General features: G+C 41.5%; 1 protein-coding gene across 42 annotated transcripts in view; it reads left to right on the forward strand.

Moving 5' to 3' along the window:
- Positions 1–14,714, forward strand: part of TLK2 (tousled like kinase 2) — a 144,568-nt gene that overhangs the window by 120,756 nt on the left and 9,098 nt on the right. For all 42 annotated transcript variants that reach the window (XM_024450552.2, XM_024450553.2, XM_047435179.1 and 39 more), the window contains 4 exons: positions 4,916–5,005; positions 8,982–9,151; positions 10,373–10,511; positions 14,461–14,572. In XM_024450552.2, coding sequence (XP_024306320.1) covers positions 4,916–5,005; positions 8,982–9,151; positions 10,373–10,511; positions 14,461–14,572 — 511 coding nt within the window. The remainder of the gene's footprint in view (positions 1–4,915; positions 5,006–8,981; positions 9,152–10,372; positions 10,512–14,460; positions 14,573–14,714) is intronic.

Here is a 14,714-nt window from a genome sequence, read left to right on the forward strand (position 1 = left end):
GTTTCCATTGGGGAAAAATATATGTAATTACTTTTAGATTCCTATTTCTCCCTTTCCCCACTTCCCCTAATTTTTCCCTCAGCTTTTCTTTAGTTAGTGCTTTTCTTTGGTATACTGGAGTTTACCGGTTTCTGAAAACATCACTGTTTTTTAGTTTTATTTTACCGTACTACGGAAAGTGTGTCTTTTCCAACTAGCCTTATAACAAAATGTCCTAAGCCAAATAGTGCTGAATTACTTAAAATATCAGTTACTGTCTTTGTAAATAAGAACTACATTCTTTCTTCTTTTTTTTTTTTTCCGAGACAGAGTTTCGCTCTTGTTGCCCAGGCTGGAGTGCAATGGCGCAATCTCAGCTCACCACAGCGTCCGCCTCCTGGGTTCAAGTGATTCCCCTGCCTCAGCCTCTTGAGTAGCTGGGATTACAGGCATGCGCCACCACCCCGGCTAATTTTGTATTTTTTTTTTTAGTAGAGACAGGGTTTCTCCACGTTGGTCAGGCTGGTCTTGAACTCCCGACCTCAGGTGATCTGCCCACCTCAGCCTCCCAAAGTGCTGGGATTATAGGCACGAGCCACTGCGCCCGGCCAGAACTACATTCTTAAAATAGTATTGGTAATTACATTGTGTAAGCATATTCTGTTCTTCTAAAATTCAGAATATGAATATGTCAGACTATACAGTACACTTTTGTTCCTTATGAAATGATTTAAACTAGAAAAGTACCTTAAAAATGCTAATCATATTAGTCATATGTTGCTTAACAATGGGGCTACATTTTGAGAAATGTATCGTTAGGTGATTTTGTTGTTGTGCAAACATCACAGAGTGTACTTAATGTAAGCTTAGATGGTATAGCCTACTTACATACCTAGGCTGTATGGTATAGCCCATTGCTCCTAGGCTACACACCTGTATAGCATGTTACTGTACTGAATACTGTAGGCCAGTGGTTTCCAGCCTTTTTGGCACCAGCGACCGGTTTTGTGGAAGACAGTTTTTCCATGGACCGGGGACAGGGGGAGATGGTTTCAGGATGATTCAAGCGCATTACATTTGTTGTGTACTTTATTTCTATTAGTGTTACATTGTAGTATATACTGAATTAATTACACAGCTTACCATAATGTAGAATCAGTGGGAGCCCTGAGCTTGCTTTCCTGCAGTTGAACGGTCCCATCTGGTGGTCATGGGAGACAGTGACAGATCATCAGGCATTAGGTTCTCATAAGGAGCACACAACCTAGATCCCTGGTGTGCACAGTTCACAGTAGGGTTTGCACTCCTATGAGAATCTGTGCCACTGCTGATCTGACAGGACGTGGAGCTCAGGCGGTCATGCGAGCTATGGGGAGCAGCTGTAAACACAGATGAAGCTTTGCTCACTCACCCACTGCTCACCTCCTGCTGTGTGGCCCAGTTCCTAACAAGGCACGGACCTGTACTGGGTTGGGGACCCCTGCTATAGGCAGTTGTGTTACTAATTGTGTATCTAAGCATATCTAAGCATAGAAAAGGTGCAGTAAATATACAGTATAAAAATGGTACACCCGTACCATTAATAGAATTTGCAAAACTGGAAGTTGTTCTGGGTGAGTCAGAGTCTAGGATACTGTTGTACACTACTGTAGACTTTATAAACACTGTACACAGAGGCTACACTACATTTATTAAAAATTTTTTCTTCAAGTATAAATTAACCTTCACTTACTGTAACATTTTTGCTGTAGAAACTGCCTTTTTTTAACCTTTTTGACTCTCATAATAACACTTAGCTTAAAAAAATCACATTGTACGGTTGTATGAAAATATTTTCTTTCCTTGTATCCTTATTCTATAAGCTTTTTTCTATTACAATTTTTTTTTATTTTTAAACATTTTTTGTTAAGAACTAAGGCACACAACTCATTAGCCTAGGCTTGCACAGGGTCAGGACCATCAATATCACTTTCTTCCATCTCCATCTTGTCCCACTGGAAGCTCTTCAGGGCCAATAACATGCATGAAGCTTTCACCCCCATGATAACAATGCCTTTTCCTGGGATACCCTCCGAAGGACCCGCCTGAGGCTGTTTTGTAGTTAATTTTTTTTTTTTAATAAGTAGAAGTGGTACACTCTAAATTTTTTTTTTTTTTTTTTTGAGATGGAGTCTCACTCTGTCGCCCAGGCTGGAGTGCAGTGGTGTTATCTCAGCTTACTTCAACCTCTGCCTCCTGGGTTCAAGCGTCTCTCCTGCCCCAGCCTCCCAAATAGCTGGGATTACAGGTGCACACCACCGCTCCCTGCTGCTTTTTGTATATTTAGTAGAGACGCAGTTTCTCCATGGTGGCCAGGCTGGCCTCAAACTCCTGACCTCAAGTGATCCGCCTGCCTCAGCCTCCCAAAGTGCTGGGATTACAGCCGTTAGCCACCGCCCCTGCTCTCTAAAATTTAAATAATTAAAAAGTACAGTGCAGGCCAGGTGCCGTGGCTCATGCCTGTAATCCCAGCACTTTGGGAGGCCATGGCAGGCGGATCACTTGAAGTCAGGAGTTCAAGATCAACCTGGCCAACATGGCAAAACCCCCTCTCTACTAAAAATACAAAAATTAGCTGGGCGTGCTGGGATGTGCCTGTAATCCCAGCTAGTTGGGAGGCTGAGGCAGGAGAATCGCTTGAACCTGGAAGGCAAAGACCACAGTGAGCTGTGATCGCGCCACTGCACTCCAGCCTTGGCAACAGAGCGAGACTCCATCTCAAAAACAAAAAAAGTGCAGTACATAAGCCCTCACTTAGTAGCAGTGATAGGTTCTTGGAAACTACAACTTTAAGGGAAACAAGGTGTAACAAAACCAATTTTACCATAGGCTAATTGACATAAACAAGAGTTAAGTTCCTGTGGCATATTCCTGGTCACAAAAACATTACCCAGCTTCTAAATAAAGACTAAAACACTTCTAATACTAAACGTTGAAATGTATATGAGCTTTATATACATTTAAGAAAGTTTAATAGAAACAAGGTAACATTTACCCACTCATTCCCCACTCAGGGTTGAGGGTGGCCAGAGCCTATATCAGCAGCTCAGGGGCAAGGTGGGAGCCACCCTAGACAGGATGCCATCCCATTGCAGGGCGGGTACACACACACACACACACACACACACACACACACACACACACCCCATGTGGGTATGCCGGTGAACCCAACACATGTGCCTTTGGGATGTGGGAGGAAAGCAGAATAACCTGAGAAAACCCACACAGATAGGGGAAGAACAAACAGACTCCACATGGACAGTGGTGCCGACCAGGAATTGATTTTTTTTTTGAGACGGAGTCTAACTTTATCACCCAGGCTAGAGTGCCATGGCGCAGTCTCGCCTCACTGCAACCTCCACCTCCCAGGTTCAAGTGATTCTCCTGCTTCAGCCTCTTGAGTAGTGGGGATTACAGGTGGCCACCACCACGGCCAGCTAATTTTTGTATTTTTAGTAGAGACGGGGTTTCACCATGTTGGGTCAGGCTGGTCTCGAACTCCTGACCTCAGGTGATCCAGCGACCTCAGGTGATCCACCCGCCTTGGCCTCCCAAAGTCCTGGGATTACAGGCATGAGCTGCCGTGCCTGGCCCCCTTTTTTTTTTTTTTTTTTTTTAAATCAGCGTTATAACAAAATGATGTTATTTAAGGGCCTGCTGTATAGTAAATACATAAACCAATAATGTATTCATTTATTATCATTATCAAGTGTTATATACTGTAGATAATTGTTAGGTGCTAGACTTTAATATGGCTGGCAGCACAGTAGGTTTGTTTACACCAGCATCACCACAAGCGCGAGTAATGCATTGTGTGGTGACATCATGACTGCTGGGTTACCAGGTGATAGGAATTTTTCACCTCTGTTGTACTTTTTTTTTTTTTTTCTTCCTCAGTTCATGGGAAGCTCTGTTATACTCTTATGGGACCCCGTCATATGTGTGGCTTAGCATCATTGACCGAAGGGTTGTTCTGCAGTGGATGACTGTATCAAATTCGCCATTCTAAGAAAACTGGGGTTCCATAATTTCACATTTCATATTTTATTAGAATAAAGTAAAGCTAATAGCACTTAAATTGTTTTTGTAAGAAGGATTTAAAAACAAAAAATACAAAGTACTGCTAATTGATTTATGTAACAGATAATGCTTTAACCTAAGGGGTTTACATGCTAAAAATGACCCCTTTGATGTTACCCGAGCATATATACATTTACAGATATGATGTATCAGCTTTAGAGGAGGGGGGAAAATAACCGTCCTTGTTATTTTAAAATCTATGATACTTGAGTATACGTGGAAAAGAGGTGTGATTATCATAGAATGAACTTGAAAGGGATGAAAAGGGTTGACATCCATTCACTTAACAAATATTTGAGCACCTGTTATTTTATTTTATTTTATTTTTGGAGATAGAGTCTCGCTCTGTCACCAGGCTGGAGTGCAGTGGCGCGACCTCAGCTCACTGCATCCTCCAACTCCTGGGTTCAAGTGACTCCTACCTCAGCCTCCCGAGTAGCTGGGACCACAGGTGCGCACCACTACGCCCAGCTAAGTTTTATATTTTTAGTAGAGACGGGGTTTCACCATGTTGGCCAGGATGGTCTCCATCTCTTGACCTCGTGATCCACCTGCCTCGGCCTCCCAAAGTGCTGGGATTACAGGCGTGAGCCACTACGCCCAGCCAGAGCACCTATTATTTTCTCAATGGCTTGGTAGATTCCAGTGGAGAAAATAGGATGAGCAAAGAGAAAAGTCAGATGAGGGACCAGATGGACCTGAATGGAATTAACATGTGGAGACAATAGAGAAATGATTGAATATTTAGGAGGATCTTTGAAGAGTTCTAAAAGGCAGGCCAATATACCTTCTTGTTAATTTTCCCTTTTGTTTACAGGCATGCATGTAGGGAATACCGGATTCATAAAGAGCTGGATCATCCCAGAATAGTTAAGCTGTATGATTACTTTTCACTGGATACTGACTCGTAAGTGCTGTGCTGTTTTACCTTAACAGTTATATTATTTTCTTGCAATGCTGATTGTTCATGGAATAGAGCTGAACTCTGGGTCCAGGACATACCCTCTGAGGGAACCAAGTAATTTGTGACAAATGATCAAACATAAATTCAGATTTGGATCAGCAAGAAACCTCTAGGCCAAAGGACATGTGCACTTGTGTGCCAGTAAATGTTTAACAGCCAGCTTGGTATGAAGAGAGACAGGGCTAATTTATAGTGTTTGCCAGTTTCCGTGGTGTAGATATTCCTCCTGTGTCTAATTTTGATGTACCACCTGTTTATTTTTGTTTTTTTTTAAACATCTTAATTATAATTCACATACTGTATGATTCACACATGTAAAATATACAGTTTAGTGGTTTGTAGCATATTCATAGATACATGCAACCACCAGAGGCAATTTTAGAATTTTTTCACCATCTCAAACCCCATCATACCTTTTACTACTATTCATCTATTCCACCATTCCATCCCTCTGCCCTAGCCCTAATCTGTCTGTTTTATCTTTATAGATTTCCTATTCTGGACCCTCATATGCATGGAATCATATAGTATGTGGACTTTTATTACTGGCTTCTTTCACTTACCATGGTGTTGTCAAATTTCATCCTTGTAGCCTGTGTCAGTACTTCATTCCTTTTTATGGCAAAATAATATTCCATTGTGTGGATATACCACATTTTGCTTATAACGGTTTGATAACCAGCTCACAAAATTCTTGAAAATTTAAGTCAGCTCTTGGAAACTGGCATGAGTTGGTGCCAGCATGCCACTGACGTGCACTAGTGAGTGTAGACTGTTCAAGAGAGTTTCTGCTCACCCCAGAGACTCTTATGAACATTGACAGACCTTTTTAAAAAGTACTGGCCGTGTGATTTTATCCTAGACTGAGATAAGAAATGTGGCACTAATGAAGACAAGGCTCAGTGCTACATGTTGAAATACAGGCTCATAGGCTTATAGGATGTTAGAATAGGAAGGGATCTCAGAGTCCAGCCTTTTCATTTTATAGGTGGATTTTGAGGACCAGAGAAGTTAAATAACTTGTCTGAGATAGTTATTAATTGTGGGCATTGCTATATTTTGTTACTTGGTATAGGTAACCTCCCGTGCCTCTGGGTTTATCCAGCAGTTTAGCTGGATATATCTCAGCATTTGGAAATGTTTCTCTGTAGAAGTCTGAACTGAATCAGAATATACCCTAGGTCTAGACTTCAGGTTCCCTCAGCCTCCCAGGGTAATTCTAGGAGTTTTGGTCTGTTCTAGCCAACAGTCTCAGATATGGCTGTGCAGACAGCTGCCTTACATTTAGAAATAACCCCAAAGAGGACTATAATTCCCTTTGGAAACATGACCTGGGCCATTCTCTCAGGGATTTCTTCTCATTTGGGTAGCCCTGGCACTGAGCTTAGCCATGTGTGTTTCACGTGGAGTGGAATTTTTTTAAAAAGATCTAGTTAGAAGGCAGGATTGGGAAACAAGGGGCGGGGCATGACATTACTGTTTTGCCTTGAGCAAATTTCTTGAATACTAGGTAGACCCCCCTCTCTGAACTATTAAGTTCAAGAACTATTTCAAAGTTAAATATCAGGCTCAAATTATCTGCTGTTTTGAATTGTATACACACTTTTAACTAATGTGAGAAATTGAGTTGGTTCTATACTATTCTTGAGTTGATTACTTTGTTCTTCCTATTGTATGTATGATGAATTTTCACCAAAAATAAGTCAGACCATGATTTTTAGAACATCTTCTGAGAATTGTTTGGGTATTAAAAGTGAGGCTTTATTTTCTTTTCTTTCTTTTGTTTTGGTTGTTTTCCTTTTTTTTTTCCTGAGATGGAGTCTCACTCTGTTGCCCAGGCTGGAGTTCAGTGGTGCGATCTTGGCTCACTGCAACCTCCACCTCCCAGGTTCAAGCGATTCTCCTACCTCAGCCTCCCATGTAGCTAGGATTACAGATGCACGCCACCATGCCTGGCTAATTTTTGTATTTTTAGTAGAGACAGGGTTTCACCGTGCTGGGCAGGCTGGTCTTGAACTCTTGACCTTGTGATCCGCCCGCCTGGGCCTCCCAAAGTCCTGGGATTACAGGCTTGAGCCACCGCGCCTGGCTGAAAGTGAGGCTTTATTTTCAACTTGCATTTGGGTGAAAGAATCATTCCATTGAGCATGAGTCTATATTTCAGATTTCAGAATCTCAGATCAGAGGAATCTATAAATTTCAGACATTTCTTTTTTTAATTTTATTTTATTTGAGATGGAGTCTTGCTCTGTTGCCCAGGCAGTAGTGCAGTGGCATGATCTTGGCTCACTGCAACCTCCACCTCATGGGTTCAAGCAATTCTCCTGCCTCAGCCTCCCAAGTAGCTGGGATTACAGGCATGCGCCACCATACCTGGCCAATTTTTTGTATTTTTAGTAGAGACAGAGTTTCACTATGTTGGCCAGGCTGGTCTCAAACTCCTGGCCTCAAGTGATCCACCCATCTCTGCCTCCCAAATTGCTGGGATTACAGCAGACATTTGTTTTCAAATAGGGTGTTAGCATGCCCTGCCATGTTTCTTAAGATACATAAGATATTGTTCAGTTTGTGGTGTCCACAGGACCATGTGTGTCCATGTTCAATTGCAGTGCTTTATGAAGGCCTCAAATTGCTCAGTGGCCCATAGCGCTAGACCTGAGTCTGTTTGCTCTCAGTTCTGTTCCTCGCCCTTTCGCTGCTCTGTATCTTTGGGGGGTTAGCCCGTGTAGGCTGTGTTTATCAGGCCCATGTGTCCATTGGTGTTCTGTTGGTTTCAGCCAATGGGAAGGCAGAAATGGGAGGGGGTCTCCACCTCCTCTCCCTCCCCGCAATTCTAGTTTCCCCTGATGACCCTGGGTTCTGGTTTCACCATCTCCTCCCTTCTGGCCTGCTTGCCTGAGGGTGCTAATGGCTTCCTGCTGTAGATGATCTCTAGGGTGCCTCACTGACCAGTTTGTCTTCTCAGCTCTTCCATCATCTGTATGATCAGTTCCCTGAATTAAAGTCTCTCTGTTTTAAATGTTCAGGTGGTTTTTTTTTCCAGGCTAAACTGACTGATACACCCACATTGTCACAACTTAGAAAACTTCAAAACGTATTCATCCCTCAGGAATATTCAAACAGTTCAGGACACCTTACTTCAGAGTATAATGCCTTGGAAGATAGACACGTGACCTGTGATGCCACCAATGGCATATGGTTTTATGTATGGGTCTGTATGACATATTGACATAAGGGAAGGAAAGAGAACCCACATACTTTTGTTAGAACCATAGATACTATACTTTACAAGCTCTTTTACACCTTGTGTTTAAGAGAAATTGTAGTGCAGTATTGTGCCAAGCTGTCAGAAGACGTAGTATGCAGTCAGTTTTTGGGACGTGGGCAAACTCTAGATTCTTACTCATTGCCAGCACTCAGGGTTATATAAAATGTTTGCAGTGCGAATTGTGTACCTAGCCAAAATTGCGCCACTGCACTCCAGCCTAGGCAGCAGAGTGAGACGGAGTCTCAAAAAAAAAAAGAGAGAATTGTGTACTTGATCACATTCTGGTTGTTTAGACGTGGATGTGTGGCATGGGTGTGTAAAGGAGCCCCTTCCAAGAAGATACCTAGCTTAAATACATTATAGTTCTTATCAGTATTCTTATAGTCTAGACTCAAGAAGAGGTCTGCCATGGGTGAACTTGAGCACAACAGATTCCAACATTGAGGGTGTGGAAACTCTTCAAGAGAATAAGCAGTTTCTTACCAGAAACCCCTCAGCTAATACTGAATAAACAATTGAAGAGTATTTTAAGGAACAAAGAAGAAAGGAGTGAGAAGCTGATGACCTGAAGTTTTCACATGGGACTAATTTAGGTAGTGTTAATCTGCTTGCTCTTATTCCATGGTTAAATATTGGTTTATTTGTCTTTAGGTTTTGTACAGTATTAGAATACTGTGAGGGAAATGATCTGGACTTCTACCTGAAACAGCACAAATTAATGTCGGAGAAAGAGGCCCGGTCCATTATCATGCAGATTGTGAATGCTTTAAAGTACTTAAATGAAATAAAACCTCCCATCATACACTATGACCTCAAACCAGGTATGTCTAACTTTTAGGAGACAGTATTAGTGGGTTTTCTTTGGTCTTATAAGTGACTTTTAATTTGATAAAGTTAGAGAATTTCACAGCAGCCAAGAAAGGCTAATAACATCTGACTTTTGATTGCCTGGGTAGGTGTGGGAAAAAAGAGTCCTGGCCAAGCAGCACTGGGTTTAGGAGGGCGTGTTGGATTAAATACTCTGGAGAAACAATACCTTTATCTTTGGAGCCAGGGCAGTTCATGATGTAAGTCTCATTAAGAAAGAACTGTTGCAGCAAGTTCAGTTTTGTTTTTTTCCCATGACTCCTACTACATAACAGTCCCTCTGCTTCAGGTCTCTTTGATAAGAGCCCCCAAATTAATAACTTATTTTTACTTATATGCCTCCCATTTCAATAAATTTCAAGCAGAATTTTTCATCTTTTTGTATGGTTATTATCTAGCTTTGATGTTCATCAGCAAAGAGTACAGGGCAGCTAGAGTCCTTACCTCTATTTTTTATTGTTATCTTCAGCTGTGTTTTAGAAATCTGCATAGTTCTATAGACAACTCTAACAGCTTAGCTTGGGCATTAGGAAGATGGTCCACATTTACCTTCTGGTGTTGCAAAATTGTAAACTTTGCTTTACTCTTCTGGTAGGTGCATATTGCGTCTCATTGACTATTCTCTAATGTTCTAATACAATTCAGATGACTAAAACATTAATTATGATGAAGAAATTTTTTAAAAGATGGCTATTTTGTGAATGAATTTTCCATAACTGAATTCAACACTTTCCTGCAATGGGAGCTGTAGGCGGTGCTGTGGTGCTAGCTTTGGTTTCCTTACATGGTTTCTTTGATTCCTCCCCCACACCCCAAGTGCTGTTCTAAACAGGGTAGTTTAGAGATCCTCACTGAAAGTTCAGATGAAAGTTTCCCATCAGTTTTGACCAAGTGAACAAGGGTATTTTACTTTGGCCAGTTATTTTTATTTCCAGAGCTCATCATAGTGGTGGTTTTGGCACATTAAGCAGGTGATTCTTGGAAAATAGAAGTTTCAGCAGATGCTGAGGACTCTCCCTGAGTATCCAGAGTCCAGATTGCTTGATTCCCAGGATTTGGATGTTTGCTTTTGCAAGAGTTTGAGTTCAGTTGTCCCCTTCTTATCTGCTATTACTTTGGGTTTTTCTCTTAAATCAGTAAGTCTCTGCTTATTCATGAAGGTTTTTATTTTTTAGGTAATATTCTTTTAGTAAATGGTACAGCGTGTGGAGAGATAAAAATTACAGATTTTGGTCTTTCGAAGATCATGGATGATGATAGCTACAATTCAGTGGATGGCATGGAGCTAACATCACAAGGTGCTGGTACTTATTGGTAGGTATCCAGGAGCTCTGCCAGGTTGGCTATAGAGATGTGGCTCTGCTATGCTGAAGTGTTGATAATGAATTAATTGCTGTATGCTATCTGCTAGGCAAAAATGCCATAAACCAAAGCAGACTTTCTCCCCAAATCATTACTGTCTTTTCAACAGTTTGACTCTTGGTATTTATATTAATTTGTCTTAATTTTTCTTTCCTTTCTTGAAAATCCTTAAGAAAGAGAGCTTATATGTGTCCAGGTATTTGAAATGTATGTTTTTTGTACAGAGTTGGCCTTGCAAGTCAGTAGAGAACAAGGTTGCTCATGTGTATATAAAGAATGGCCCCAAAATCTTTCCGTCCAAATACAGGTCTCTCTTCATGGGTTAATGGGATAAGGGATTTGTCTCAAGAGTTGCCTGAGGATGTTGGACTGTAGGGAGTTATGAAGATCAGGATGAAACATAACTATAGCGCATATGAAATCTATACAGGAAAAAGTGACTACAATTTACCAGAAGTTTATCCATGTCTGTTAGCCATGATCTAAAAGTTTTTGAGGCACATTTCTTCACATCTCTTGTCACCTGTCTTCCCCTAGCCACCCGCACCCAAGCTACCTCTGCCTGCCAGTTTTATGCTTCTATTTCTGCCTACTATTACCTTTGGCCATTAGAACCATAAAAGATACCTGAAACTCAGGCCTTTAACTCTATGGTTGTAAAAGTGTGTTAATAAAGCTTCCTCTTCCATTTTGAGGTGGTCACACAAGCCACATATTGGTGTATATAAAGAATGGCCCCCAGTTTTTTTTAGTCCAAATACAAGTCTCTCTTCCTGGCTTAATGGGATGAGGGATTTGCTTCAAGAGTTGCAAGAGAAGGCTCTATAGCACCAACGGAGGGGCAACACATGTTATTTGTACCCTAGGGAAGGTGGTCAAATCACTTTATCTTTGGAACTGAAAGGTCCTAGGCCTTAGCAGAGAGTACTGACTGTCTGGGAATCAGAGGTAGAGGAGGAAGCAGAGGGGCATGGCGTTCACAACACAGCATCAGCCCTGTGCTCATCGTGAAGCCTGCCAATAACACCATGGACACAATGCCCCGGTTTCTGTTGCTCCTTACTGCTTGTGGAAATGGTACCTGTTGTAAAAAGTCAGTCCCTAAATTAAAACTTTGAAATTACAGATTTAAAATAGAAGCTGCATTTACAATGTTTATTCACTGTGGTGGTTATTGTGGGCTAGTGTTCCTGTCACTAAGTGATACAAAAATATCTGCTGCTGGAAATTCTAGAAACAGGTCTATACCTCTGCTATATAAATTCACTGGAATTTGGATTTGAGCTTTGTGTTTGATCTTTTTTTTTTTAAGGCACAGTTTTTTTGCATTTAAAATAGTTACTGCTGTAGTTGCTTACCTACAAAAATTCAGTGATTAGAATTTAAGTAAAAATTATGTGATGCTAGGGATTTTGCTTCAAAGTAGTCTGTTGGGAGAAATGGTGGAGATTGGCCACATGTTGATAATTCTTGAAGCTGGATGGTGCTTACTTAGGGGGTCATTTTACTGTTCTTTCTGCTTTAGATTATAGTTGAGATTTTTAATAATTTAAGACAGGGCTTCTGAGAAGATTAAGTGTTACAGGTTTCTATGAAGGTTTGAAGAGTCTCCAAATTGGTAGAAATACTGTCATAATCACTATCTTCAGTATGTCAGATAAAAATAATCCTGAAGGGTATAACAAATTATAAGTAACTATTTGCAGTATTTACTGGTTACAGAATTCTTCTACATTGAATACTTTATTTATTTATTTATTTATTTATTTATTTATTTATTTATTTATTTATTTGAGACGGAGTTTCGCTCTTGTTGCCTGGGCTGGAGTGCAATGGTGTGATCTCAACTCACTGCAGCCTCCGCCTCCCGAGTTCAAGTGATTCTCCTGCCTCAGCCTCTCAAGTAGCTGGGTTTACATGCACCCGCCACCACGCCCAGCTAATTTTTTTGTATTTTTAGTAGAGATGGGGTTTCACCATGTTGGCCAGGCTAGTCTTGAACTCCTGATATCAGGTGATCCACCCGCCTCGGCCTCCCAAAGTGCTGGGAATATAGGCGTGAGCCACCACGCCTGGCTGAATACTTATTTTAAAGAAGTGACCCATAGACTATGCCTTGAGAATAATTGTTTTTTTGTATGGGGATTTTGATTGTGATGGAATATGCAACTATATACATATATATATATATATTTTTAGCACAGTTTAGTATCATAGAGCTGTCTTTTACTCTCCTCTCAAAATCCTTGATAGTAAGTTAGAATGCTTATTATTTTCAGTATTATTTGGATGAAGAATTAATTTCATTCACTTACAGGTGGAGAAACTGAGACCTAGAAAGGGATTTGCCAGACATGTACAATCAAGTGACAGGTCTTTTTATATTCTAAAAATCTTGCTAGCCAGGTGTGGTGGCTCATGCCTGTAATCCCAGCACTTTGGGAGGCCAAGGCGGGCGGATCATGAGGTCAAGAGATCGAGACCATCCTGGCCAACATGGTGAAACCCCGTGTATACTAAAAATAAAAAAATTAGCTGGGCGTGGTGGTGCACGCCTGAAATCCCAGCTATTCGGAGGTTGCAGTGAGCTGAGGTCACACTACTACACTCCAGCCTGGCAATGGAGCGAGACTCTGTCTCAAAAAAAAAAAAATCTTGCTAACTTATTTTTCTGCATTTGGATGAGTTCAACAACTCCTATTCTTTCCTGCCACTGCCATAAAAAAGTCACAAATATATTTAAATGGTCATTTTAGAATTAAGGTTATACTTATCCAAGATCATATTTAAGTTATGTATATTAAAAAATCAAGAACTGGCCAGGTGCAGTGGCTCATGCCTGTAATCCCAGCACTTTGGGAGGCTGAGGCGGGCGGATCACGAGGTCAGGAAATCGAGACCATCCTGGCTAACACGGTGAAACCCTATCTCTACTAAAAATACAAAAAATTAGCCCAGCGTGGTGGCACACGCCTGTAATCCCAGCTACTTGGGTGGCTGAGGCAGGAGAATCGCTTGAACCTGGGAGGCAGAGGTTGCAGTGAGCCGAGATCGTGAGTGAAGTGGGACTAGTGAGAATATTTACCACTCTTAGGAAATTGAGAACTATTTTGATGCCCTATAGGGACATTACTGCCTCCCTAAGTTAGAGTGTCTTTTCTTACTTTGAGATGGGGGTCTCACTCTCTTGCTGGAGTGCAGTGGCATGATCTTGGCTCACTGCAGTCAACCTCCCCCAGGCTCCGGTGATCCTCCCGCCTCAGCTTCCCAAGCAGCTGGAGCTACAGGGGTGTGCTACCAGGCGCAGCTAATTTTTGTATTTTTAGTAGAGATAGGGTTTCGCCATGTTGCCCAGGCTGGTCTCAAATTCTTGAGTTCAAGCGATCTGCTGGCCTTGTCCTCCCAAAGTGCTGGGATTACCACACCCCGCCTAGAGTGTCTTTTCATTGACTTTCCATATAAGTCTAAGTTGACTGTTAAAATTCATATATTTTGGCCAGGTGTGGTGGGTCACACCTATAATCCCAGTACTTTAGGAGGTCGAGCTGGGAGGATCACTTGAGTCCAGGAGTTTGAGACCAGCCTGGGCAACACAGTGAGACCCCACTGCTACAAATTTTTTTTAAAAACTACCCAGGCATGGTGGTGCCTGCCTTTAATCCCAGCTACTTGGGAGGCTGAGGTGGGGAAACCACCCGAGCTCGGGAGGTTGAGGCCGTAATGAGCCATGATCACGCCACTGTACTCAGCCTGGGTGACAGAGCAAGACCCTGTCTCCAAAAAAAAAAAAAAAAAAAACGATATTTCTATTTTCAACAAGATATTTTATTTTGTCTTTTTGTACATGTCTTAAACTTATATGATCATTATTCTAATAATTTATATTTCTTTTTTGTCCCAGGTATTTACCACCAGAGTGTTTTGTGGTTGGGAAAGAACCACCAAAGATCTCAAATAAAGTTGATGTGTGGTCGGTGGGTGTGATCTTCTATCAGTGTCTTTATGGAAGGAAGGTAAGTTAGAAGGTTGATGGAGAAGCTTGATCTCTTTCTTGGGTGGCACACACACACACAGTGCCTTGGTATGGATTAGTCTATTGGAGTTAATTATTGGGTTATACAAAATAGAATCCTGAAAGGAGTGGTTTAAAGAAAA

The sequence above is a fragment of the Homo sapiens genome, chromosome 17, assembly GCF_000001405.40.
Source record: "Homo sapiens chromosome 17, GRCh38.p14 Primary Assembly".
Taxonomy (NCBI): domain Eukaryota; kingdom Metazoa; phylum Chordata; class Mammalia; order Primates; family Hominidae; genus Homo; species Homo sapiens.